General features: G+C 48.8%; 2 protein-coding genes across 6 annotated transcripts, besides 1 other annotated feature; one reads left to right on the forward strand and one right to left on the reverse strand.

Moving 5' to 3' along the window:
• Positions 1-928: 928 nt before the first annotated feature.
• Positions 929-25,935, forward strand: TRIM54 (tripartite motif containing 54). Of its 5 annotated transcripts, NM_032546.4 has the most exons (10): positions 929-1,399; positions 17,067-17,239; positions 17,745-17,916; positions 18,030-18,155; positions 23,459-23,554; positions 24,084-24,317; positions 24,580-24,602; positions 24,713-24,837; positions 24,956-25,042; positions 25,387-25,935. In NM_032546.4, the coding sequence occupies exons 1-9, from the start codon at positions 1,232-1,234 to the stop codon at positions 25,039-25,041; spliced, it is 1,203 nt and encodes a 400-aa protein (NP_115935.3). In that variant the 5' UTR covers positions 929-1,231; the 3' UTR covers position 25,042; positions 25,387-25,935. The 5 variants fall into 5 exon arrangements, with proteins under 5 accessions (NP_115935.3, XP_024308778.1, NP_912730.2 ...); XM_024453010.1 differs by lacking the exon at positions 18,030-18,155 and having other exon boundaries at positions 24,956-25,068; NM_187841.3 differs by lacking the exon at positions 18,030-18,155.
• Positions 19,980-20,185: a silencer, noted in NCBI's record as "fragment chr2:27524348-27524553 (GRCh37/hg19 assembly coordinates)". NCBI's record gives its function as "represses an EF-1alpha promoter that drives an FKBP-Casp9 reporter gene in an ReSE screen in HepG2 liver carcinoma cells {active_cell/tissue: HepG2}" and the evidence as "EXISTENCE:reporter gene assay evidence [ECO:0000049][PMID:32094911]".
• Positions 25,900-26,945, reverse strand: UCN (urocortin). Its single transcript, NM_003353.4, has 2 exons — positions 26,660-26,945; positions 25,900-26,408 (listed from the first exon to the last, which is right to left on the reverse strand). The coding sequence occupies exon 2, from the start codon at positions 26,393-26,395 to the stop codon at positions 26,021-26,023; it is 375 nt and encodes a 124-aa protein (NP_003344.1). The 5' UTR covers positions 26,396-26,408; positions 26,660-26,945; the 3' UTR covers positions 25,900-26,020.

Genomic DNA, 27,169 nt, shown 5'->3' on the forward strand with positions numbered 1-27,169 from the left:
TGCTTCTTGGCCTTTTGCCTAAGATCAAGTGGAGAAGACTTGTAGGAGAAAAAGAAGACCAGTGCTCACAAGTGGGGCAAGCCTGGCTTGGAGAGTAGGAGTCCTGGACAACTGTGGAGCTGGGTCAGAGGCTTCCCGGAGCCTTGTGATTATGACTTTGTCAGTGCTCTAAAATTTCCCTGGAGATTGATTCCCTGGGTGCCCAAAATAGGTCCCTGGCATTCAGGTCCTTTCTGCCCAGCTCACCTTCTCCCAATTTCCTAACAAATTTGAGTCCTTGGAGTGGCTCCAGGGATGTGTTCACGGACCAGAATCCCACATTTCCTCGGGGGCATGCTCATAGGTAGGTCCAGGCCTTGGCACAACAGTCATTTCTAGCCTCTTGAGCTTCTTTTCCTAGGGTGATATAAGAAAAGGCCAGGGAAGAACAAAAATGAGCCAGAGGTGTTGGACAAGAGGCTTGATGTAGTCCCTGGAGCTGCTGTTCTGAATCACACAGTCTTGAGGAGGAGGACCAGGGTCACTGGCTGAGCCTGTGGAGGAGGCAACCGCTACTGACTCTAAGTCTGGCAAGATCTTTCCTCCCACCCTGAGCTATGTATGGGTGCCTCTCACACAGGCAGATTTAGATTCTGTGTCACTGTCCTGGAAGAAGGGCCCAAGCCAGAACAGGGGTCCCGGGCTGAGAGGAGCCTTCAGAGTGAGAGGGCAGCACCTTTGCTGACCCACCTTTCACTGTAAGCAGTGGCACTCACCCCTGCCCTTGCTCAAGGGAGTCACCCATTCCTGAGTGAGTCAGGGTCACTCACTCCATGACAGCTGTGGCTCGCCTTACATGAGCTAAATTGGGAATTGGAATGTCATGCAGATGCCCCTTGTCTCCCAACCCCCACAGTAAAATTAATCTGCTCTCTGGGGAGTAAGGGACAAACAGTGCTACCCACAGAGTGAACAAGAGAGAGTCATTTGGGAAACAAAAGGAGAATTTTACAGAGAGAGAGGGATAGCTAAAACTACGTGAGCCTGGCGAGGGTGCAGAGCAGAAAGTAGAGACTGTCCGAAGACTGCTATCTGGGACGAGACAAGTTGTTAAAGGGACAGGAGAGAAAGCAGAGCTATTTCAAGAGTGAGCCACAGAAGGGAATCCAGAGGCCATCTAAGCGAGGAAGGGTCTACAGGCAGTGAGTGAAGGCCAGGAGCAGGGCCCAGGCCAGGCACGACCACCGAGGGGATGAACTTCACAGTGGGTTTCAAGCCGCTGCTAGGGGATGCACACAGCATGGACAACCTGGAGAAGCAGCTCATCTGCCCCATCTGCCTGGAGATGTTCTCCAAACCAGTGGTGATCCTGCCCTGCCAACACAACCTGTGCCGCAAATGTGCCAACGACGTCTTCCAGGTGGGTGCCAGGGACGGGGCAGGGCCAGGTAAAGCAATGCAGACCTGTGGGGGACTGATCAGGTCAGAGCTGAGACCCCAGAAGGTGATGGATAGAGTGCTCTCTGAGGTGGGTGGTGGCTGTTGTGGCTGGAGAGCAGAAGGGCTGGGGTCCAAGCAAATCCCAGAGCAAGCATGAGTCAGCAGCTGCCCTGCAGGCTGGCAGGTACAGCCTGTGCATAGACGGCAGCTGGAGTGCTGGGATCTACCAAGGAAAGTAGACCCTGTGGAAACTGGGAGGGAGGGTATCCCACACCGGGCTTTATAAGAGCCTGTGCCAGACTCTGCATTCCAGTTTGGAGTTTCAGACTTCGAGAGCATTGTGGAAAATACGGAGAAAAGATTAATGAGATAATGAAACGTTAAAAAACAAACAAACAAAACCCGACCCTGTGAGAAAGCTCCATAATGGCAGTAAAACTATTTGTATTTAAGGAAAGTTGAAGGCATCCATTGTGGGTGACAGAGTTAGACATAGTGGGCAGGAGACTGGGAACTCTCCCCAACTTGAGTTCATACCTGTTACCCTCCAGATTGTTCAGTAAAGAGGCCTACTGGTTAAAAGCTACTGAGGTCACTTGACAAGCAGGGAGAAGGCAAAGAAATTTACTTCTCAGAAGTCCAGCCAGTTTTGTTTTATCTGTGGTCATGGGGCCAAGCAGAGCTAATCAAATTCACAGATACTAGTATAGCCACTGGTTTAGAAATAAAAGCAGCATATACCAGAATGGATTATAAGTGGGCTTTTTTTTTTTTTCCTGTGCTACTGGGGAGGTTCTAGTAGGCTATAAAATGGAACAGAGATCAGGGAGAGTGAGGGGCAAAGGCACACACACACACACGCGCGCACACACACACACACACACACACACACACACACACACGGCCTTGCCGTTAAGTAAAAGCCCTGAATATGGCCAGGTGCAGTGGCTCACGCCTGTAATCCCAACACTTTGGGAAGCTGAGGCCAGCAGATCACGAGGTCAGGAGTTCAAGACCAGCTTGGCCAATATGGTAAAACCCCATCTCTACCAAAAATACAAAAATTAGCCGGGCGTGGTTGCAGGCGCCTGTAGTCCCAGCTACTCAGGAGGCTGAGGCAGGAGAATCACTTGAACCCAGGAGGTGGAGGTTGCCTTGAGCCGAGATCATGCCACTGCACTCTGACCTGGGCGACAGAGCAAGACTCCATCTCAAAAAAACAAAAACAAAAACAAACCCCGAATAGACCAGAGCTGGCTGGTTTAGTATGTGTGTCAGTGACATGGAACATCCCAAACAAGTATTCTTCATCTGTGTCAGAAATGATGAGGAAATGTGTTAAACACAAGTGATTTTTAACCTAACCAAGAAAATACTTCCCTTTTTAAGTTCCTTGGGGCAGCTTGTTTTGGAAAGGAATGGGCTGGCTAGGTCAGGCCATCCCACAATGTACCCTGTGACCCACACCTTGTGTGTCTGCTCTGTGCCACCTTCACTGAAGACCAGCACTCTGTGGTCTCTCCTGCCATCTTCCCATTGAGACCCATTCCCTCTCCTATTCTTTATGTGTCCAAACCTGCCATTATTCAGCTCCAGAGTATCTCAGAGCCAGTAGATTTTCCCTCTCGGGGGGCCTAGACCAAATGCTGTGCCTCCTCGTCCTGGGCATGAAGTCCTACATGAGAGGCAATGCTTTGCCCACCATCTTGGTTTTTCCTTGGTCTAAGTAACTCTGAACATCCTTCAGGCTGAGATGCCTAGGAGGGAAATGGCAGAAAGATTTTGCCATCCTTTCTCATGAACTTACAGTGAAACATCCTCACACTGGAACTTGAAATGTGTGAAAGCAAAGAGAAGTTTTGAAAGCTAAGGTGATGTGTCCTGTAGAAAAGTGGTCAGAAGGGCCAAGTGCATTCCTGGGTCCCTCTGTCATCTGGCAGAGGAATAGGCCCCATACATGGAGGCTAGAATGTGTTTAAGTGACCTGCTTATTTAAGTCAACTCTCTCTATCCAAGCACACTGTTTCAGTTCCAGAAAGCTCTAGAATACGGATCTGGGCTCAGAGAGACCTTGGAATGGCTTGGGGCAAATCCTGTACAGAATATTTGGAGATAACATGATACCCAGGGCTTTGGGGTGGCTCTGTGGATCTGGAGTGGTGTATCTTTTGAGGTGCAAAGCACCCTTGGGCCCTCCAAGGAGGAAGAGTGAACAGCTCATCCCTTGCTGCTTATTTGGGAGGGCCTGGTGGGAGGCTGACCCAGTTCTTCAGCTGCACTTAGATCTGTGTATCTCAATATATCTCAGTAGATCTCCCTCTGAAAGATGAGCATATTTAGTTTTTTCGCACATTGCCTCCACATTTTGACAACTGTAGGCATAATCAGATTGTCTGTTTTCTAAGTATGGGGCAAGAATAGGACTTTTGGAAAGAATAGGACTTTTCCTCTACCTTCAAACCACTTAGGAAGAATACCCTTAGAGCATTGCCTAGAAAGTTAACGGTTATCAAAGTGATACCAGTATATCACTTAGAATTTGTAACATGTAAACATACTGTTTTCAAGCAGTATAGGAGTTCATATCATGAAAAGCAAATCTGCTATTCACCTCAGACCCTCAGTTGTCTCACCAGATAGAAGTAACTATTACCAACTTTCTTGGGAATACTTCCAGAAAATTTCCACAAATCGGCACATTTGCATGTATATGTGTTCTCAGGCGAGACCCATCGCCCCCCACCTGCCTTTGTTCACTTACTCGCTGTGGGTGATTGTTCCATATCCACCATTCAGATTTATGTCTTCGTTTTTAAATAGCTGTGTAGTTTTCATTGTTATGACTGGACCACAGTCTATTTAAATAATCTGTCCTCTAAAACATTTAGATGGTTTTCTGTGTTTTGTTGTCCTAAAAACTGCCGTGATGGACAACAAACAAGAGTTTTTGGGAATTGTGATTTTATAAGACCAAGTTAACTAGACAGCCAGGAAGCAAAATTTGAAAACAATTTATTTAAAAATACTGGCTACGTAAGGTGGCTCATGCCTGTAATCCCAACACTTTGGGAGGCTGAGACAGGAGGATCACTTGAGCCCAGGAATTTAAGACCAGCCTGGGCAACATAGTGAGACCTCATCTCTACAAAAAAGAAAATACTGTTAGTTGAACAGTATTAAGGGGTTGGGAGGAAATCATCCATAATCTTACCTCCCCAACACAGTTATTTTTATTTTTGCATATTATTTTTTTTTTTTTGAGATGGTGTCACATTATGTTACCCAGACTGATCTTGAACTCCTGGGCTCAAGTTATCTTCCTGCCTCAGCCTCTGGAGTGCACACCACCAAGCCCAGCAATTTTTGCATATTACATTCAAGCCCATGTCCGCAAACATTTTTACATAGTGGCCATCTTAATGTAATTCTTTTTAGAGCTGTAACAACTCTTTCTCTCTGAATTGAAACAGAATGAAACACCAAGACACCACATTAACCCCCTCTAATTTCTTCCTCCTTCTTTCCCCACACTTGCACCCACTCAGCTACCAAGAACTTCCACTAAAGGAAAGCTGTTGGTGTGGGAATTTGACACAAACATCTTCCCATGTGTTTCTGTATTTGTAAATTCTATTCACTCCTAAACGGCTTTAAAGCAAGCCTTCAGTTTATTTTTATACCTGCCTCCACTTCACTGTGGGCACTTGTTTTTGAGCCTGCAACCTGTTGTAATTTAACAGACAACCAAAAGGCCTTGTAAGAAGGTTGTTCTGGAACAGCTTTTCTGGAGGAGGTCTGTCTACAGAGGGACTTGCAGAGGGGGGATTGTCAAGAAAGAAGCCTCCTTCTCTAACAAGGGGCAGTCTGAGAGAGATGACTTTTGTTTCGCGCCACCCAAATTCCATTTCTTTATCCTTTAGTTGTTAGGACCAGGTGTCATCAGGTACAGGCCTGCCAGAGAAGATCCTACCCAGCCTGCCTCCTCAACCACTTCTACCCATTCTGAAGGCACCAGGATTTCTTCAGTCCAACTTTGGGCAGGTCTCCCTGATGCAAAATTGGTTCACTAAAATTTTGTGAATTGCATTAAATTTGTAGCAGGGTTAGGGCTCTTACTTCTGTAGGGAAGATCTTGATTTAGTGAGAACGAAAACCTAGACTAAGGCTTAGCACTCCTGGATTCTCCTCTGACGGGTTTCTTTGTTAATTTGCCACACAATGCATATCAGGCTATTTCACCACTTCAAGCCTGTTTACATAACTATAAATGAAAAGGGTGTTTTCTTTCTTTCTTTATTTTTGAGACAGGGTCTCATTCTATCACCCAGGTTAAGTGCAGTGGCATGATGATGGCTCACTGCAGCCTCGACTTCCCAGCCTCTAGCCATCCCTCCTACCTCAGCCCCCTGAGTAGCTGGGACCACAGGTGTGCACCACTATGCCTGGCTAATTTTTTTGTAATTTTTTGTAGAGACAAGGGTCTCTCTATGTTGCCCAGGTTGTTCTCCAACTCCTGGACTCAAAGGATCCTCCCACCTCAGCCTCCCAAAATGCCAGGATTACAGGCATGAGCCACTGTTCCTGACCGAAAAGGGTGTTTTAAACTGATTTTTTTTTTCCCAGAGACAGGGTCTCACTCTGTCACCCAGGCTGGAGTGCAGTGGCACGATCATAGTCCACTGTAACCTTGAACTCCTGGGCTCAAACAGTCCTTCTGCCTCAGCCTTTCGTGTAGCTAGGATTACAGGCATGTACCACCACACTCAGCTAATTAAAAAAAAAATGTTTTTGTACAGACAAAGTCTTACTATGTTGCCCAAGCTGGTCTCAAACTCCTGGCCTCAAGCGATCCTCTCAGTTCAGCCTCCAAAAGCTCTGGGGTTATAGGCGTGAGCCACTGCACCTGGCCTTAAACTGACCTTTAACATCTCTTGCAATTCTAACGATTTGGTTTCACAAAGTCGAAAAATATTTTTGTGGATTTCCATTTTTTGAGGGCTTTCCATTCTGTGACCAGTGTCCTAATTTGGCCCACTCTTCTGCTTATCACTCCTCCTTTCAAGCAGTAGGGCTTGGTTTACCAGCCCCTTGGGCCAAGCTCTTCCCTAGGTTCTACCGCCCATAGCTAGCCCTCTGTTTACAGTCCCTCTTATACCTGCAGCTCAGCTTTTACCAAAACCTGGATTCTTCTCAGGCGCTTCAGCTTTTCTCCAAATGTCTGGTCTTCTGCCCACCGTTTTCCCAAGGTTTTTCCAGCATATTCTGAGTGTCTGGCTCACAGAACTTGGATGGTCCATCATTCATCACTGGCCAGGCCTTCAGGTTGAGGGAAATAGCCTCCAAAAAGCCCCATTGCATCCAGAGCCTGTGTCCCAAATTAGCACCTCTCTGGATAGCCAGGGAAGAGGGAAAACATTCTGACATAAGTATGGATTTGCTAGACTAGCTGCATTTACAGAGCATCTTTCTAGATGGAACATTTCTATTAGATGCTATGGAACATTACAAAGGAAATAGAAGGCACCGTAAAGCCTAAAAGAGAGAGAGCTCATGGCATATATTCCACACAACAGCCTTGAACATAGCCTAGAATTAAATTCCATTTATTTGTTCCATTCCATCTTATCCTTCACAGTGGAGAAAGAACAGTCATTTCGTACCCTGTGGTTCTGTGTGGTCATTTCTTTTTAAGGTCTAGATTAGGATTGTTAACAGTCCTCTGTGTTTGTGCAGTGCCTTATAATTTATAGAATACATTCACAAACATGATTCCATTTGAGTTAGATCGAATGGATGTTATCTCCGTTTTACAGAAGAGAACATAGGAAACAGGTCACAGTCACACAAACAAAGGGACAGACTAAGGACATAAATCTAGGTGTTCTGTTATGTTTCCTAGAGTGATGGAATTTCCTCTACACATCACATCATTGGCACGTGAAATTTTACTTTATGGGGCTGGCTTCCTTGCATAAATGTAAGATTTAAGGAAAGAACAGGACATTTATGTGTATAATAGAACCAATCAGTTATCTCTTAGTCTTGAAATGGAAAGATAAACAGAAGCAGAAGATAGGATTTTTCTAACTGGATATTAGTCAGCTGAAAGATCTTTAGCCTAATGTAGAGACTGTCAGCTATGAAGATGTATTAAGGAAGTTGTCATGTATCCCTTAGAGTATAAAATCGTTATTTGTGATGAGAAAATTGAGGGACTTAAAATCAGGGTAGGGAGTAATTTTTTGTGTGTGCCGTGGACCAATGTCAGTGTGTGAAACCTGTGGATCCTTTCTAATAACAATATTTCTAAATGCATGCAATATAATACATATGGTTATAAAGGAAACTGATGGCATTAGAATACAGCATGTATTCTTAATGGGAGTGATATTGCTCTCAAGGGGAAAAAATTAATTCTTGGAAGGGGGCTCTTGTTGCCAAGGCTGGAGTGCAATGGCGTGATCTCAGCTCACCACAACCTCTGCCTCCCGGGTTCAAGCAATTCTCCTGCCTCAGCCTCCCAAGTCGCTGGGATTACAGACACATGCCACCACACCTGGCTAATTTTGTATTTTTAGTAGAGACAGGGTTTCTCCATGTTGGTCAGGCTGGTCTCAAAACTCCTGACCTCTGGTGATCTGCCCGCCTCGGCCTCCCAGAGTGCTGGGATTACAGGCATGAGCCACTGCACATGGCCAGATTTTACTCTTTTTATGTGTAAAGGATAGATAAGCATGCGGTACATAAACAGATACATCTATGATATTAATATTTAATGAGGGGGATGGGAGCTATTGGGGGAAATGTCTAAAAAGGATCCTGAGCAGTGGCACACACCTGCAGTCTCAGGTACTCAGGAGGCTGAAGCAGGAGGATCGCTTGAGCCTAGGAGTTTGAGGCCAGCCTGAGCAACATAGTGAGACACTATCTCTCTCTTTCTCTTTTTTTTTTTTTTTTTTTTTTTTTTTTTGAGACAGAGTCTCGCTCAGTAGCCCAGGCTGGAGTGCGGTGGCTTGATTTCGGCTCACTGCAACCTCCACCTCCCAGGTTCAAGTGATTCTCATGCCTCAGCTTCCCGAGTAGCTGGGATTACAGGTGCAAGCTACCATGCCTGGCTAATTTTTGTATTTTTAGTAGAGACAGGGTCTCATCATGTTGGCCAGGCTGGTCTCAAACTCCTGACCTCAAGTGATCCACCCACCTCGGCCTTCCAAAGTTCTAGAATTACAGGTGTGAGCCACCGTGCTATCTTTTTAAGAGACACTATCTCTTAAAAAAAATTTTTTTAATTAAAAAGTCTCCCAGAGGGGACAATAATGAAGAAAGCTTTGGAAACACTGGAATATAATCACCAAAATATTTAAAGCACATTTGATGGAGTAATACATGTGCTTCTTAACTAACACATTAAAGAATGAGGTCTAGCAGTGAGTCTGAACTGCTGTAATTTAGAAGTAGTGATAAGCAGCCGGGCCCAGTGGCTCATGCCTGTAATCCCAGCACTATGGGAGGGAGAGGCGGGCAGATCACGAGGTCAGGAGATGGAGACCATCCTGGCTAACACGGTGAAACCCCGTCTCTACTAAAAATCAAAAAATTAGCCGGGCATGGTGGCGGGCGCCTAGCTGAGGCAAGAGAATCGCTTGAACCCAGGAGGTAGAAGTTGCAGTGAGCCGAGATTGTGCCACTGCATCCTAGCCTGGGTGACAGAGCAAGACTCCATCTAAAAATAAATAAATAAATAAAGAAGTAATGATAAGCATACATTATTTTTTGAAATTTTAGCAACAACTGTAATGCGATATGAAAACAGCTGTGATTTCCGTTGGTGACAAAGTCACGGGCTGCTAAAACTGCTGTGGTTTTGTGCTGCTTCCCCTATATTGTGCTCCATTAAATGCTTCTGTTAAAAACCAGAGATGTTACCTATAAGGGGCAACAATTTGACCCATATAGCCAGTATAGAAGACTTTCTCAAAGTAGCCACTCAACATTTGCAAAAGGTTTGGAACACAAGTCAGACAAATTTTGGTAGAGAAAGTCAGGAAATGGTTAGCAAATTTCATTCTTATTTCACCTTCCTGATTTTTGCCATAGCTGTGTACTACCTGTACTATAATTTAATAGTTCTATTTTAAAACACTCACTTTTAGGCTAGGTGCACTGGCTCACACCTATAATCCCAGAACTTTGGGAGGCCAAGGTAGGCAGATCACTTGAGTTCAGGAGTTTGAGAGCAGCCTGGCCAACATGGTGAAACCCTGTCTCTACTAAAATATAAAGAAATTAGCTGGGCATGGTGGTGAACGCCTATAGTCCCAGCTACTCAGGAGGCTGAGGCTGGAGAATCACTTGAGCCCGGGAAGCAGAGGTTGCAGTGAGCCGAGATCGTGCCACTGCATTCTAGCCTGGGCTACAGGAGTGAAACCCTGTCGCAAAACAAAAACAAACAAACAAAAAATGACTTTTAAACCTTAAATATTTACTTTATCCTTATTCTATACAATGTAATCCATGAAAAATTGTCAGTTTTTTGTGGACTGTTTTTTTCCTAATATGCATTAGAATTAACACATAAAAAATCTTGAACATCCATCCCCATACCACCTCCAATCTTCATGCTTGTCATCAGTATTATACCATATTTTGGGAAACACAATGAGGGCGTCTAAGCAATATGAGCCAGAGGCCCTGGAAAGTCTGAAGGATAAATTTTACTATTTTATTACAAGTCAAATGTAGTCTTAATGCCAAAAAGCACATGTATGTAAATATTGGCCAGAAAGACTAGCAAAGGAAGTGGGGTTAGGATTTGGCTGGGGGCTAGCATTGCTGAAGCAATCACAGAAGGGAAGGGCTGCCCTGGAGATTAAGATGAAAGCCAGCCAGGCCCGACGGAGATATGGCAGGAGAAATTGGACTTGTGAATCAGGAGGGGACTCTGGGACTGGGGGATGAAAGCTACACGCAAAATACGGGACTGTGGTGTCAGCAGCAGGGAGCAGCACCAGCCCTGAGCAAGACGGTGGGAAAGCAGAGGTGCAGCCTCTCCCCACCGCCCTGCACCCTGAGCTCACACACTCCCGATTTCTCTCTCCCAAGACAGGAACTTTTCAAAGGACTTGGGTTGGACTGCCTGAGTACTGATGCCTCTTAGCCTTCTGGGCTCCAGAATAAATGCAATGACTAACCAATGCGATGAGCTGCTAAAGAAATTGCTTTGGCAGGTGGGAGGGTGTTGAAGAGGTGGTGTTAGTGTGCCTCCCTCAGGTCAAGTCCTGAAGTCAGTTCTGGCTGTGGGGAGTTTGAAGGAAGACATTGGCCAAGATAGCCCAAGTCCTGATTACTTTTTTCTTTCTAAAAATTGTAAGCTTGGCATGGGGTCTCACCCCTGAAATTCCAGCACTTTGGGAGGCTGAGGTAGGAGGATCGCTTGAGGCCAGGAGTTTGACATCAGCCTGGGCAACTAGCAAGACCCTATCTCTGCAGAAACTTTTTTTAAAAATTAGCTGGGCATGGTGGCACACCTGCAGTCCCAGCCACTTGGGAGGCTGAGGTGAGAGGATCCCTCGATCCCAGGAAGTTGAGACGACAGAGAGAGAGATCTTGTCTCAAAAAATTTTTTTTAATTTTTGTAAAATGCACATAACATGAAATGTACCACCTTAACCTTTTAAATGTACAGTTCAATGGCATTACATACATTTACATTGTTGTGAAACTGTCACCACTATCCATCCCCAGAACTTTATCACCACCCCAAACTGAAACCCCACACCCCTTAAACAATACCTCCCTACTCCCCCTCCTTCCAGCAACTGGCAACCACCATCCATCCTATGCCAGGTACCTCATTTAAGAGGAATCATACAATATTTGTCCTTTTGTGTCTGGCTTATTTTGCTTAGCATAATGTCTTCAAGGTTTATCCATGTTACAGACTGCAGACCTGGTTACTTTTAGCTGATAATTTCTATTGCAATCTATGTGACTTTTATCAGCATCATCCATTCTCCTGTCAAATGTGGATTTTTTTTCTGTGTTGATATTTACTTGATTTCTTTCCTTAATTCTGCCAGCTCTCTTTTCTTCTCCAGTTTTGATCACTTATATCTCTTTGTTTTTGTTATTTCTTTTAAAATGGTATATCGAAATGGTATTGATTCTTGGAGTATCTGTCCCTTGTTTGTCAAGCTTTCTTTTTTCTTTTCTTTTTGTATTATCTGGTTTGCATCTTTTGTTGGATTCTGTCTGCTTATCACTCCCCTTTTATCAGGGTACTTTTATCTGGAGCTGAAGGTGAATTCCTGACTCAACCCACTGTGTTTATCTTGGCTTTCTTTCACTGTCCTCTTAAATATAAGCTGCCTGGTTGGATGTTGTCATTGGTTTTGCAATCTCTCTTTAGTTCTGTGCCTTCTTTGGTGAATAGAGGGGTATGACCTGAATTAATAGGTAGTTGAGTGTCTCAATTTGGTTGTGTTGTCTTGGAGTATTTTTCACGCAGAATCCGGTGATTTATCTACCATAGAGGCCCACACAGGTCCATGGGAGGAGGTCTCCCCTGAGATTTGAGCTATTTCCTCTCCATTTCACAGACAAACAGGTCATTCTGGTTGAAAGCAGGGCCCTTATAGAGCTCCATGGCACACAGGGTTTTAATTTGATGAGTCATCTTTTGTTGATCTTTGCTTAAATAGCTTTAGTCCACAGTTGCATAGTTGATTTTCAGGCTGTAGTTTCTTTCCTCTGTGAAGGTTTGAGGTTTGTTCCTTCATTACCCTTTTACTTTTTTTACTTAAAAAACAAAAACAAAAAACGGCCAGGTGAGGTGGCTCACACCTGTAATCCCAGCACTTTGGGAGGCCGAGGTGGGTGGATCACCTGAGGTCAGGAGTTCAAGACCAGCCTGGCCAACATGGGGAAACCCCATCTCTACTAAAAATGCAAAAAATTAGCCGGGCATGGTGGCACGTGCCTGTACTCCCAGCTACTCAGGAGGCTGAGGCAGGAGAATCGCTTGAACCCGGGAGGTGGAGGTGGCAGTGAGCCAAGATCCTGCCACTGCACTCCAGCCCGACGACAGAGTGAGACTCTGTCTCAAAAACAACAACAACAATAATAACAACAACAACAACAGTAAAAGAAACTGCCTCTGCCTGAGACTCAGAGAAATGAATATTAGCTCTAAGGGTTTTTTTGTTTTGTTTTTTGTTTGTTTTGTTTTTGAGACAGGTCTCCCTCTGTCACCCATGCTGTAGTGCAGTGGCATGATCACAGCTCACTGCAGCCTTGACTTCCTGGGCTCAAGTGATCCTCCCACCTCAGCCTCCCAAATACCTGGGACTAAAGGCATGAGCCATCTTGCTTTTTCTTCTTTTTGTAGAGACGTGGTTTCACTGTACTGCCCAGGCTGGTCTTGAACTCCTGCACTCAAGCCATCCTGCTGCCTTGACCTCCCAAAGTGTTGGGATTACAGTCATGAGCCACCGTGCACAGCCTGGCCTAAGTTTTATTGTGTCTGACAATGGAACACAATGATTATTAGGACAGGCTCTGGAGTCAGAGTGCCTAAGTTCCAGTACTGGCTTTGCCACCTATTAGCTCATGACCGTGTACAATTTATTTAATTTCACTGAGACACAATTTCCTCATCCTTGAAATGGGGCTAAGACTATTACCTACTTCAGGGCCAGGCATGGTGGCTCACGCCTGTAATCCCAGCACTTTGGGAGGCTGAGGTGGGCGGATCATGAGGTCAGGAGATTGAGACCATCTGGCCAACATGGTGAAACCCTGTCTCTACTAAAATACAAAAAAATTAGCCGGACATAGTGGCAGGCGCCTGTAGTCCCAGCTGCTTGGGAGGCTGAGGCAGGGGAATCGCTTGAACCCAGGAGATGGAGGTTGCAGTGAGCTGAGATTGCACCACTGCACTCCGGCCTGGGCGACAGAGCAAGACTCCATCTCAAAAAAAAAAAAAAAAAAAAAGAGTATTACCTACTTCAGGGTTGATATGAGGATTAAGTGAATTAATACAAATGAAAGACTTAGAGCAAATCCTGGCTCAGTAGATGTTAGCCATTATTATTCTATTTCTTGTAGACTAAGTTAGGAGTGATTGTTCACCTCCTCGACCATCTTTTTTTGTTTGTTTGTTTTTTGAGACAGAGTCCTGCTCTGTCGCCCAGGTTGGAGTGCAATGGCGCAATCTCGGCTCATTGCAACCTCGGCCTCCTGGGTTCGACTCCAGGGTTTGAGTGATTCTTGTGCCTCAGCCTCCCGAGTAGCTGGGATCCTCAACCATCTTTACAAGAAGTTCTTGAGGAATAAATACAACAATGTCTGGAAAACCCATGACACGATGCTTGACACATGATAAGCCCTCAAAACATATTTTTTTTGAGACGGAGTTTCACTCTTGTCTCCCAGGCTGGAGTGCAATGGTATGATCTTGGCTCACTGCAGCCTCCACCTCCCGGGTTCAAGCAATTCTCTTGCCTCAGCCTCCCAAAGTATCTGGGATAACAGGCGCCTGCCACCGCACCCAGCTAATTTTTGTATTTTTAGTAGAGACGGGATTTCACCGTGTTGGCCAGGCTGGTCTCGAACTCTTGACCTCATGATCCACCCACCTCGGCCTCCCAAAGTGCTGGGATTACGGGCATGAGCCAGCGCGCCTGGTCTCAAAACATTTGTTGAATGTTAAGTAATGAGTATCCCTGCCTTTGTGGCTCAGGAAGAGGAAGGGTGCAGTGAGGGATGGAGGTTGGGGAGAGCGGCTGCCCAAGAGTTTATCTTTGCTGTGGGATATAGGTCCCCCTTCCTCCCATTCAAATATCTCTATATGCTTGCCATCAGCAAATCAAAGATAAGAAAGACAGGAGACTGCAGCCTTAGAGTTCTCCCAACACCTCTTTCCTCACTTGGGTTCTAAATATTGAAAAGTAATTGTATTAAGCAAACAAAAGGCAAGTGATTATACACTTTAACGCATTCCCTAAACTAAACTCAACAATATTCATACATTTCTAGCTACTGAGAAGGCAGATGTACAAACATGCCTTGAATTATCTCAAACTAATCTGCCCCAGGTTTATGATGGGCTTAAAGGTTAACATGATTCTCAAGAAATCCCAAGAAAGATGTGATATTTATGGCACACACCAGTTACTCTCCCCAAGATAAGCTGCTCACTTCACAGTGGGTCCACGTTTCCTGCCTTGCCTACAGCCCTTGCTACCAAAGGATCAAACAAGACCCTTGACTTGGCTGCACTCTGTGCATGATGGGGTGTTGCTGCACACACGCAAGGGGCCTTCCAAACTGTCTTCTGGTTTGTGTATGGTGTAAGGGTTTGGAGAAGTTCATGCATCCCAGTTGTAGGAAGTGCATCTCACTATGCTAGCTCATAGGTGACCACTGTCTCCATTACTCTCTAGGAATGCATAATCTTCCAGCCAGTTGGGATTAGGTTCTGTTCTAAGTGGCAGAAACCCCAGAATAACAGTGGCTTAAAGAGGGTAAAAATTTGCTTTATTCTCAAGTGAAAGTATGGGTGGACAGTGCAGGACTGCCTCATCAGAGACCTCCTTTCATCTCGTTACCATTCTCAACATGTGGCTGCCACTTCATGGCTCAAGACGGCTGCTTCAACTTGAGCCATCCCGTCTTCTTTCCAGCCAGCAGGCAGGAGAAAAGGGGAGGAGCAGGGCATGCCCCTCCCATGAAAGACGGTTTGTGCAATTTCCTACAAATTACACAAAACATTTGCATCTACATCCCAGAGCACAGCCAATTGGCCACACCCAGCTGGAAGGGAGGCTTAGATTCATGGGTTTTTTGGTTTGTTTTTTTGAGATGGAGTTTCCCTCTGTTGCCCAGGCTGGAGTGCAGTGGTACTATCTCAGCTCACTGCAGCCTCTGTCTCCTGGTTTCAAGCAATTCTCCTGCCTCAGCCTCCCAAGTGGCTGGGACTACAGGTGTGCACCACCGTGCCCAGCTAATTTTTTTATTTTTAGTAGAGATGAGTTCTTGCTATGTTGCCCAGGCTGGTCTCAAACTCCTGAGCTCAAGTGATCTGCCCACCTCGGCCTCCCAAAGTGCTGGGATTACAGGCATGAGCCACCACACCCAGCCCTTTATACCATGTGTCTTGTTAAAACTCAGGGCACTTATTATTAAAGAAGAAAAGGTGGTGAACGTCAGGGTACAATAAGCAGTGTCTGCCAGTCTTTCATCTCTGCATCTCCCCACACATAGACTCTTTTCTCTGTAGACCAGCCTTCTCTGTTCAGTTTCTGACCCCTTACACTTTCCAGGGTGGCCGTGATGTCAGCTCTTAGCCCAATTCCACAGGTCTATTCAATTCCTAAGCAGAACATGGCGTAGCCAGCTAAGCCCCTGAGTCTCAAGTCCAAATTCTTAGGAGAGAATATTTGATTGGTTCTGCTTGGGTCAGGTGATCACCTCCTTAGCTCTGAATCAATCATCTGTGGCAGGGATCTCCCTTCTAGGATAGGATGGAGCAACTACTCTAGGCAAGAGATGTAAGCCGGAGGAAGTGATGGGTGTCTGTTAAGTCCTCCTTCTGAGCCTACCCCTATCACAACACCCATCCTGCTGGATGCAGTTGTCAGGTGCTTGTCCTTAGGACAGGATGCATTTTCTTTGTATCTTTAACTCAGAGTCCAGCAACTACCTGGCACACTATAAATGAATAATTTTATCCTCAGCTTTACAGAGGTTGAATACCTGCCTAAATTTATATACTTAAGAGGTTGGGCATGGTGGCTTACGCCTATAATCCCAGCAATTTGGGAGGCCGAGGTGGGAGGGTCACTTGAGGTCAGGAGTTTAAGACCAGCCTGGGCAACATAGTGATACTTCATCTCTACTAAAAATAAAAAAAATTATCTGGGCATGGTGGCACACACCTCTAGTCCCAGCTACTCAGAAGACTGAGATGGGAGGATTGCTTGAGCCCAGGAGGTCGAGGCTGCGGTGAGCTGTGATCCCACTACTGCACTCCAGCCTGGGCATCAGAGAAAGAACCTGTCTCAAAAAAAAAAAAAAAAAAAAAGGCCGGGGGGAGGGCATCAGAGATAGCACAAGAACCCAGGACTCCTGACTTCCAGTTCCTGGAGCAATTTTCTAGAATTACCTGGCTAGTTACAGTTTGTGAACCCCATTGTTGAGCACTTGTATCTGCTTGTACCCCTGCCCAGGACTGCAGAGAATCTCCTCCAGTTGTGGCCCAAGAGGGCCCCAGACTGGAAGACATTGGTCGCACCACTCAGAGTTCATTTCCTGCCTCAGCCTTATTGCCAAGACCAATGTCTCCCCATGGCTCCAAGCTGGACCCCTTTGGAGAGATCCCATCCTGACTATGCCTTGACCAAAGCTGAGTTCTGGATGCAGGGGCACTCTAGGAGGTGGGCTGAATAATGAGGCAAAGGTGGGAAGCAGGGTCTCCATGGCCGTCCACCGTGCGCTGCTCTCAGAGGTGGATCCAGCCACAGAGAAGAGCTGACATCTTCCCCTCCATCAAGTTCCTACTCCCTAGCCCCCAAGCCCTTTCCCCCTGCCTCCTCCGAGTCCCTTCATGCCTCCCCGTGCCTGTTCTCTCAAGCCATCTGTCCCTGCAGGCCTCGAATCCTCTATGGCAGTCCCGGGGCTCCACCACTGTGTCTTCAGGAGGCCGTTTCCGCTGCCCATCGTGCAGGCATGAGGTTGTCCTGGACAGACACGGTGTCTACGGCCTGCAGCGAAACCTGCTAGTGGAGAACATTATCGACATTTACAAGCAGGAGTCATCCAGGTGAGCCACCAGAGTCTCTTGCCTCTCTCATGACAGGGCTTGGGACACAGCCAAGGAACCCATCAGAGCCAAAAGGGAGAGATTGAAACGGTCAACCTGCCTGTTCTGTCTAGAGACCATAGGACTGGATCCGGAGAGGGACTTGCCTCAGGCCTCCCAGAGAGGGCAGTCTCTGATTCCCTAGCCAGTACTTCACTCCTACCCTCTCCTCCTGGGAGAGGCTGGCAGTCCACCAGCAAGATCCTCGCTAACCCTCCAAGACTTCCTGTCCTGTGGGACTTCCCTGCCCCCTTGTAATACAGACTGTTCTCGGATCCAGGCCTCCTCTATCTCTTAGCTCCTTCTGTTCCCCAAATTCAGAGCTCTGTGGAAGTACTCACCAGTTCAGCCACAGCACTAGCTGCAGGGGCGGAGAAGGTGGTGGCAGTTGGTGGAGGCTGAAGAGAAGGTATTCCTAGGACCCTTCATGCTTAAGGTCCACCTCCCCCTGCCCACTCCTCTCTAGGCCGCTGCACTCCAAGGCTGAGCAGCACCTCATGTGCGAGGAGCATGAAGAAGAGAAGATCAATATTTACTGCCTGAGCTGTGAGGTGCCCACCTGCTCTCTCTGCAAGGTCTTCGGTGCCCACAAGGACTGTGAGGTGGCCCCACTGCCCACCATTTACAAACGCCAGAAGGTATCAAACAGGGGAGGGAGTAGATATGTGAGAGATGGGGGCTTAGGACAGGGTCTCAGTGTCAGCCTCTTACTCCACTTATCTTTTGTTTACTTATTTCTTTATTTATTTAGAAACAGGATCTCACTCTGTTGCCCAGGCTGGAGTGCAGTGGCACAAACACAACTTACTGCAGCCTTGATCTCCCGAGCTCAAGTGATCCTCCCATCTTAGCCTCGCAGAACACTAAGATTATAGATGTGAGCCACCGCACTCAGCCCTATCTATCTATCTATCTATCTATCTATCTATCTATCTATCATATTTTGAGATGGAGTCTCGCTCTGTCGCCCAGGCTGGAGTGCAGTGGTGCAGTCTTGGCTCACAGCAACCTCAGCCTCCCGGGTTCAAGCTGTTCTTATGCCTCAGCCTTCCAAGTACCTGGGATTACAGGCATGTGCCACCACACCCAGCTTTTTTGTTTTTTGGTTTTTTTTTGACTCCTGGCCTCATGTGATCCGTCCACCTTGGCCTCCCAGAGTGCTGGAATTACAGGTGTGAGCCACTGCGCCCAGCTCCATTTATTTATTTTTTAAGAGATGTGGGGATCTCTGTCGCGCAGGCTGGAATGCACTGGTATGATTGTGATTCACTGCAGCAGCCTTGAACTCCTGGGCTCAAGTGATCCCTACCACCTCAATCTCCCAAGTAGCTGGAACTACAGGCATGTGCCACCATGACCAGCTAATTATTTTATTTTATTTATTTATTTATTTGTTTATTTATTTATTTTGAGATGGAGTTTTGCTCTTGTTGCCCAGGCTGGAGTGCAATGGCACGATCTCGGCTCACTGTAACCTCTGCCTCGCAGGTTCAAGCAATTCTCCTGCCTCAGCCTCCAGAGTAGCTGGGATTATAGGCGCCTACCACCATGTCCAGCTAATTTTTTGTATTTTTAGTAGAGACGGGGCTTCACCATGTTGGCCAGGCTGGTCTGGAACTCCTGACCTCAGGTGATCCACCCACCTTGGCCTCCCAAATGCTGGGATTACAGGCGTGAGCCCCTGCGCCCGAACCTAATTTTTTATTTTTACATAGAGACAGGGTCTCAGGCAGGGCACAGTGACTCACACTTGTAATCCTTTGGGAGGATACTACTAATAATAATATTTATTAGTAGTAGTAGTACTAATAATAATATTTATTAGTAGTAGTAGTACTAATAATACTTTAGAAGAGCGAGGCAGGGGGATTGTTTGAGTCCAGGAATTTGAGACCAGCCTGAGCTGTGTAACATAGTGAGACCCTTGTCTCTACAAAAAATTAGCTGGGCATGGTGGCATGCCTGTAGTCCCAGCTACTCGGGAGGCTGAGGTGGGAGGATCACTTGAGCCCGGGAGGTTGAGGCTGCAGTGAGCCATGATTGCACCACGGCACTCCAGCCTGGGTGATAGAGTGAGACCTTGTCTCAAAAACAAACATACAATATTAAAAAGAGACAAGATCTCACTGTGTTGCCCAGGCTTGTTTTGAATTCCTGGGCTCAAGCCATCCTCCTGCCTCTGTTAGAGGAAAGAGGTCTTGACACAGACCCCAAGACAGGGTTATTGGATCTCGCGCAAGAAAGAATTCAGGGCTAGTCCATAGAGTAAAGTGAAAGCAAGTTTATTAGGAAAGTAAAGGAATAAGACAATGGCCACTCCATAGACAGAGCAGCCCCTAGGGCTGCTGGTTGCCCTCTTTTTTTTTTTTTTTTTTTTTTAGATGGAGTTTCGCTCTTGTCGCCCAGGCTGGAATGCAATGGCGCGATCTCAGCTCACTACAACCTCCGCCTCCCAGATTCAAGCGATTCTCCTGCCACAGCCTCCCAAGTATCTGGGATTACAGGCATCCGCCACCATGACTGGCTAATTTTTGTATTTTTAATAGAGACAGGGTTTCACCATGTTGGCCAGGCTGGTCTCAAACTCCTGAACTCAGGTGATCCACTCTCCTTGGCCTCCCAAAGTGCTGGGATTATAGGTGTGAGCTACCGGGTCCAGCCTGGTTGCCCATTTTTGTGGTTATTTCTTGATGATATGCTAAACAAGAGGTAGATTATTCATGCCTTCCCTTTTTAGAACATATACGGTCACTTGCTGACATTGCCATGGCATTAGTAAACTGTCATGGAGCTAATGGGAGTGTAGCAGTGAGGACCACCAGAGGTCGCTCTCATTGGCGTCTTGGTTTTGGTGGGTTTTGGCCGGCTTCCTTACTGCAACCTGTTTTATCAGCAAGGTCTGTATGACCTGTATCTTGTGCCGACCTCCTATCTCATCCTATGACTTAGAATGCCTTAACCATCTGGGAATGCAGCCCAGTAGGTCTCAGCCTCATTTTACCCAGCCCCTATTCAAGATGGAGTTGCTCTGGTTCAAACGCCCCTGACACCTCAGCCTCCCAAAGCGTTACTCCACTTAGTTTTAAAGTCAAGCAGGCCGGGCGGTGGCTCACACCTGCAATCATAGCACTTTAAGAGGCCGAGGCGGGCGGATCACCTGCGATCAGGAGTTCGAGACCAGCCTGACCAATATAATGAAACCCTGTCTCTACTAAAAATACAAAAATTAGCCAGGTGTGGTGGCATGTGCCTGTAATCCCAGCTACTTGGGAGGCTGAGACAGGAGAATCGCTTGAACCCGGGAGGCGGAGGTTGCAGTGAGCTGAGATTGCGCTATTGCATTCCAGCCTGGGCAACAAGAGCAAAACTCCATCCAAAAATAAATAAATAGGCCAGGCGCGGTGGCTCACGCCTGTAATCCCAGTACTTTGGGAGGCCAAAGTGGGTGGATCACGAGGTCAGGAGATCGGGACCATCCTGGCTAACACGGTGAAACCCCATTTCTACTAAAAATACAAAAAACTTAGCCGGGCGTGGTGGCAGGCGCCTGTAGTCCCAGCTACTCGGGAGGCTGAGGCAGAATTGTTTACCTGGGAGGCAGAGCTTGCAGTGAGCCAAGATCGGGCCGCTGCACTCCAGCCTGGGCGACAGAGCGAGACTCCGTCTAAAAATAATAATAATAATAATACCTAAAATAAAATAAGTAAATAAAAATAAAATCAAGCAGATTAAGCCAGGCGTGGTGGCTCATGCCTGTAATCCCAGCACTTTGGGAGGCCAAGGTGAACGGATCACTTAAGGTCAGGAGTTCCAAACCAGCCTGGCCAACATGGTGAAACCCTTTCTCTACTAAAAATACAAAATTAGCTGGGCATGGTGGCAGTCGCCTGTAATCCCAGCTACTCGGGAGGCTGAGGCAGGAGAATCACTTGAACTCCAGAGGCGGAGGTTACAGTGAGCTGAGATTGCGCCATTGCACTCCAGCCTGGGCAAAAAGAGTGAAACTCTGTCTCGAAAATAAAATAAAAGTCAAGCAGATTGGAGTCAAAGTCCTAGCTCTGTGCTTGACTTGGTGTGTCACCTAGGTATGTTACTGGACCTTTGTGGCCCTCACTTTCCTCATGTGTAAAATTAGGGTGAAAATGCCTACTTGTGAAAGTAGCTATAAGGATAAAATTCGATAATGGATGAAAGCAGAGACTTCAGTATGGTGGGTGAGATACTTGCAGGGTCCTCTCTATCACACAACTAGATTCTGTGTAAAACAGAATTTTCAAATTATATTGCTTGGTACATAGAAGCAAAGGAAATCAGTGGGGGTGGGGAGGGGCGAAGAGAAAAGGCGGAGCTGAAAGCAGAACCCTGAGTGGCAAGCACAGAAAAGGCAGCATTTCGCAGAGGACCAGTGCTGGCAATGTCACTGAGCTAGAGAGACCAGACTATTCCTCCAAACCCCTAAAAGGAGGGGTACCTGCAGCTAAGATTCCAGAGACCCGGCTGGGCGCAGTGGCTCACGCCTGTAATCTCAACACTTTGGGAGGCCGAGGCGGGCGGATCACTAGGTCAGGAGTTTGAGACCTGGCCAACATGGTGAAATCCCGTCTCTACTAAAGATACAAAAAATTAGCCGGGCGTGGTTGCAGGCCCTGTAATCCCAGCTACTCGGGAAGCTGAGGCAGGAGAATCGCTTGAACCCAGGAGGCGGAGGTTGCAGTGAGCTGAGATCACGTCATTGCACTCCAGCCTGGGCAACAGGGAGAGACTCCGTCTAAAAAAAAAAAAAAGTTTCCGGAGACCGTAGGTTAAACTAGGATCCTAGGAGCTAAAGCAGTAAATTGCGCCACCTGGCTTTCAACAGAGGCAAATGCAAATACTGCCTAGAGGAAAATATGCACAATTTAGGCCCGTAGGTATTCCCTAGATTAATTAATATCAATAAAATATTAGATCACAATTGAAGGTGCACAGAGAAACGTAATCCATGAGTGAAGTCAGCAGAAACAAAAAATACAGATTTAGGACCCCCCACAAAAGCAACTGAGATATTGGAATTATTAAATAATTGGAAGTCACTATAAATCAAATGCTTTTTAAAAAAAGATGAAAAATTTTAAAAACCAAACAATAATAGAATATCAAAAACCAACCATGTAGCTGGGTGTGGTGGCTCACGCCGGTAATCCCGACACTTTGGGAGGCTGAGGTGGGAGGATCACTTGAGTCCAGGAGTTGGAGACCAACCTGGGGAAATGTTGAAACCCCGTCTACAAAAAAATATAAAAAATTAGCCGGACGTGGTGTCATGCGCCTGTAGTCCCAGCTACCTGGGAGGCTGAGGTGGGAGGATCACCTGAGCCTGGAAGGTCGAGGCTGCAGTGAACTGAGATCGAGCCACTGCACTCCAGCCTTGGTGACAGAGTGAGACCTTGTCTCAAATATATATATATAGATAGATAGATAGATAGATAGATATAGATATACAGATATATATATATATATAGATAGATAGATATAAAACATTCAACAGATGGCTGGGCATGGTGGCTGGAACCTGTAAACCCAGTGACTAGGGAGGCTGAGGCAGGAGGACAAGGCCTGGTGTTCGAGACCAGCCTGGGTGACAGAGCAAGACTCCGTCTCAAAAAAAATTTAAAAAAAAATCAACGAATGAATTGAATGATAGATTTGTCTGAAAACAGAACTAGTGACCAGTATGAGAGGACTGAAAGAAAAACAGAACGTGCAGTTCTGGGAGATGATGAGAAGGCTGAGAGTGAGAAGGTCTAACAGGTCTAATCAGATTCCCAGAATGAGAGGATAAAGAGAATAGAGAAGAGGCAATATTATGCCAATGGATAATCTTGAAGACTTTCTCAGAATCGATGCAAGAAATGAATCTACAGATAAAGTATCTAGCCCAGTGTCTGGTATCTGGTGGATGTTTGGAGACTGTCTGTTCCTTCCCCACTTAGTGGTGGAGGGCTTCTCTCCACCTCCTTCCAGAATCACTAGAATGTGCTTCCGTACCTCTTGATGGTTCAAGCCTTCTAGATTGCTGTAGATGCCCTTATGGGGGGTGAGGTGGAAGGGCCAGCCCTCTCCTAGGCAACCCTGGCTGGGGTGAGGGGTGTAGCTCTAGGCCAGGTCCCAGCTCTGAGTGCTGACCTGTGTGTGTATCAGAGTGAGCTCAGCGATGGCATCGCGATGCTGGTGGCAGGCAATGACCGCGTGCAAGCAGTGATCACACAGATGGAGGAGGTGTGCCAGACTATCGAGGTGAGCCTGGGCTGGAGGGAGGGAGGAACAGCAACTGGCTAGCCTGCGGACCCCGGGCTCCCAAGAGAACTGCTCCTCTCTGACCTCTCGCCAAACTGGTCTGAAAGTTTCTGGGGTCCTGGGAGTGGTGGGAGGTGCTTTTGCCAGGCTGCTGGGTGTGCATTCCAGCTTTGCCGCAAAACTTTAATCCAGTTATTTAACTTCTCTGTGCTTTGGTTTTGTTTAACCTCATAAAACAGTGATGATGATAATGATACACCAGCTACCTCATGGGTTCTTTTTGAGAATTAAATGGAATAATGCAAATAAAAACCAGGGCTAGGGATATAGACAGCAATCAGTGAAGCTACTTTAAAGCATTGTGTTTTTATTATGGAAAAGATCTGGGCTGGGTTCTGGCTCAGCCACTAACTCACAGTGTCACTACGGATGGGTCACTTTCTGTGTTGGTTCTCTGTGAGTACCCTGTGCTTTCCCAGCCACCGGGTCTCAGCCACGCCTTCCCTCATCCTTGCTCCCCATCTTTTAGGACAATAGCCGGAGGCAGAAGCAGTTGTTAAACCAGAGGTTTGAGAGCCTGTGCGCAGTGCTGGAGGAGCGCAAGGGTGAGCTGCTGCAGGCGCTGGCCCGGGAGCAAGAGGAGAAGCTGCAGCGCGTCCGCGGCCTCATCCGTCAGTATGGCGACCACCTGGAGGCCTCCTCTAAGCTGGTGGAGTCTGCCATCCAGTCCATGGAAGAGCCACAAATGGCGCTGTATCTCCAGGTGGGCTCTAGGGGAGGGTGGCAGCGCTGCACAGTGGCTGGAGTCAGGGCCTTGGTACCTGGAGTCCCGGGTTCAAGTCTTGTCTCTTGCACCTGCTTGCCCCTACGACCTTGGGCAAGTCACCCCCTCTGAGTTCGTTTTCTGCTTAACGAATTGGGACGTGCCTTCCCACCTACCCCGCAGGACTGTGGTGAGATTCAGAAATGGGACTTTGCCCAGGTTGGCCCAGTGCTTACTCTCACCCTCCTTTTCTTCCCTGCAGCAGGCCAAGGAGCTGATCAATAAGTGAGTAGGCATAGCGGGAAGGGAAAGGAGGGGGCTGCACTGCTCCACTGGCTGGGGTGGGGCTTGAGAGTGCTGGGGCATTGCCAGCTGAGTCCGTGTGGCCACTGCAGGGTCGGGGCCATGTCGAAGGTGGAGCTGGCAGGGCGGCCGGAGCCAGGCTATGAGAGCATGGAGCAATTCACCGTAAGGGTGGAGCACGTGGCCGAAATGCTGCGGACCATCGACTTCCAGCCAGGTGAAGGAGGTGGCCGAGGGCCGCTGAGACGGGTTCGGACCCTCTGTGTGGGGGGTGCGGCGGGCACGATGGCCGTAAAGGCAGGGACTCCACCTCACCAGGCCTTCCTTGGGCTCAGGCGCTTCCGGGGAGGAAGAGGAGGTGGCCCCAGACGGAGAGGAGGGCAGCGCGGGGCCGGAGGAAGAGCGGCCGGATGGGCCTTAAGGTGAGAGCCGCCCGATGGGCCTTAAGGTGAGAGCGGCCTGAGGGGCTTGGGGTGGGGCCTGGCTGGTGTGCTCGCGTCCCCTCCCCCAGTGATTGCCCTCCCTGCGGGTAGCGTGGAGCCCCCACTCCTCGGTGCAACCCAACCCCGGAGCCACAAAGGCGCGCCCCCTAGGGCGGAAAAGTACACTTTCCTCCTCACCCGCTGTTCCTCTGGGGTGCTGGGAGGGCAGGCAAGGCAGGCTGAGTAGAGGAGAAACCCACGTGGCGGGGGACGGAGTGAGCGGGGCTCGAGCTGCCTCGTGCCTTCGCAGCACCCGCCCACCGAGCCTTCTTTCCCGGGCACAGGCCTGCGCCGACCCGACCCTGCTCGAGAGCCCGCGCTAGAGTCGGGGAGGATCTGCGCAGAGACCGCAGCATCACCCAAATCGGCGCCGGCCCCGGGAGGATCTCAATAAAGAACTCGAGCGTCCCAGACCCGTATCTCCTTTCGCTGCCCAACCCCGCAGCCTGGGCTTCGAAGGCGACCCGCCCACCATCCTGCCCTTCCCAGAACCTGAGACCGTCTGGGGGGCGGAAGCCAAATGAACCCCTATTGGGCACCTCTGTGATGCCAGGAGCGAACTGGTGAGCCCAGCGCCCTGGGAAGAGGGCCGAGGGCGGGGCGGTGGTGCCGGGACCTCTGAGGTCCTGGGGATTTGGGGACCCTTGGGGTCCACATGCACCTGGCTGACCTGGCTGAAAGCCGCTGTCTCGGAGCCCCCCACAGCATTTTGTTCCCCTCCCGCTGGCCCGGGGGCCCCACCTTCCCACGGGTTCCCACGCTGCTGTGACTGCCCTGCCTCTACGACAAAAGCCAACGGGTCTTCAGTACTTTTATTAAAAAATAGTCACGCAGACAGTGCCCTGGTGGCTCTGCCCCGCATCCCAACTCTGGGGTGGGGGAAAGGGGTCAACGTTTTCGCAGCCCCAAACCGGGCCATCACTTGCCCACCGAGTCGAATATGATGCGGTTCTGCTCGGCGCGCTCCCGCTGGCTCTGCGTCCGCGCCAGCTCCAGCAGGGTCCGCAGCAGGTGAAAGGTGAGGTCAATGGACAGAGAAGGGTTGTCCCGCCGCGGCCGCTCGCCTGCCGTCCCGAGTCCCAATCGGCCGGGCCCCGCGCGGCGCGGGAAGCGCTCCGCCAGCAGCAAGAGGAGCGCGCGGGCCCCGCCACCCTGGTTCCGTGCCCCGGGGCTCCAGCGCAGACTCGGGTCCTGGACCCCGGCCGCCTCGGGGCTCCTCTGGCTGCTCCCAGGGCACAGCTGTACCAGGAGCAGCAGCGCGGCCAGCAGCGCTGCGCGTCCCGCCTGCCTCATGGTGCCGCCGGCCCTGGACACACAGGGGCAGCGCAGGGTGAGGTGCGCCTGGGACAGCTGCAGGCCGCCGCTCCCCTCCCCGCGCTCGCCCGGCGACCCCTCCGGCCGCCGCCCAATGCCCGCAGCCTGCCCTCCAGCCCCAGCCACTGCGCCAGTGCTGTTCCATCCCTTCCACCCAGCCTCCCTCCCCGGAGGAGCGTGGTGGCTGAGCTGAGCGGAGTCCTGGTGCAGGGGGAGGCTGGGCGGACGCTCTGAGCCACTCACAGGTTGTCGGCGAGCGTCTGTACGGTCCAAGATTGAGCTCCAGTCTCTGTCCCTCGGGGCAGGCTGAAGACGCCTTGGGGAACACAGGGTCTGTCCCGGGGCTGTCGCCAGCCTTATATAGTGCCAGGACAGCTCCGACTGACGTCAGCGAAGAACATGCACTGATTGTAGAAGCAATGACAGCCACAGCTTCGAGTCTGACGGCTGGCGGGCCCCCGGAGGGGCGCACCTCCCTACACCAGCCTTCGTGCCCCTGGGGCTAGCGCTGGAAGCAGCACTGGACGCAGGAAAGCGAGAAGCCGGCTGGGGCGTAAAGACTGCTCTGGGACCCACGGGAGTCCCTCGCCCCGCTTAGAACAGCCAGCAATGACTAGGGCCGTCCCCAGACCAGACTAGTCCGGGTCGCGTGTTCTGACACACGAAAGGGAGGCGGGACCGTGAGGCTGTCCATGGTGCTGACCCCGTCCTCTGCCTCTAGAAGTGGCCAGAAATGTGAGAACGCTGTGCCGC

The sequence above is a fragment of the Homo sapiens genome, chromosome 2, assembly GCF_000001405.40.
Source record: "Homo sapiens chromosome 2, GRCh38.p14 Primary Assembly".
NCBI classification, from domain to species: domain Eukaryota; kingdom Metazoa; phylum Chordata; class Mammalia; order Primates; family Hominidae; genus Homo; species Homo sapiens.

Bases quoted from the DNA above. Each gene is read 5' to 3' on its own strand.
- TRIM54 (NM_032546.4), top strand. From the start codon at position 1,232: ATGAACTTCACAGTGGGTTTCAAGCCGCTGCTAGGGGATGCACACAGC. The intron at 17,917-18,029 runs GTATCAAACAGG...TTATTTATTTAG, and splicing joins CCATTTACAAACGCCAGAAG to AAACAGGATCTCACTCTGTT. The intron at 24,838-24,955 runs GTGAAGGAGGTG...CCTTGGGCTCAG, and splicing joins GACCATCGACTTCCAGCCAG to GCGCTTCCGGGGAGGAAGAG.
- UCN (NM_003353.4), bottom strand. From the start codon at position 26,395: ATGAGGCAGGCGGGACGCGCAGCGCTGCTGGCCGCGCTGCTGCTCCTG.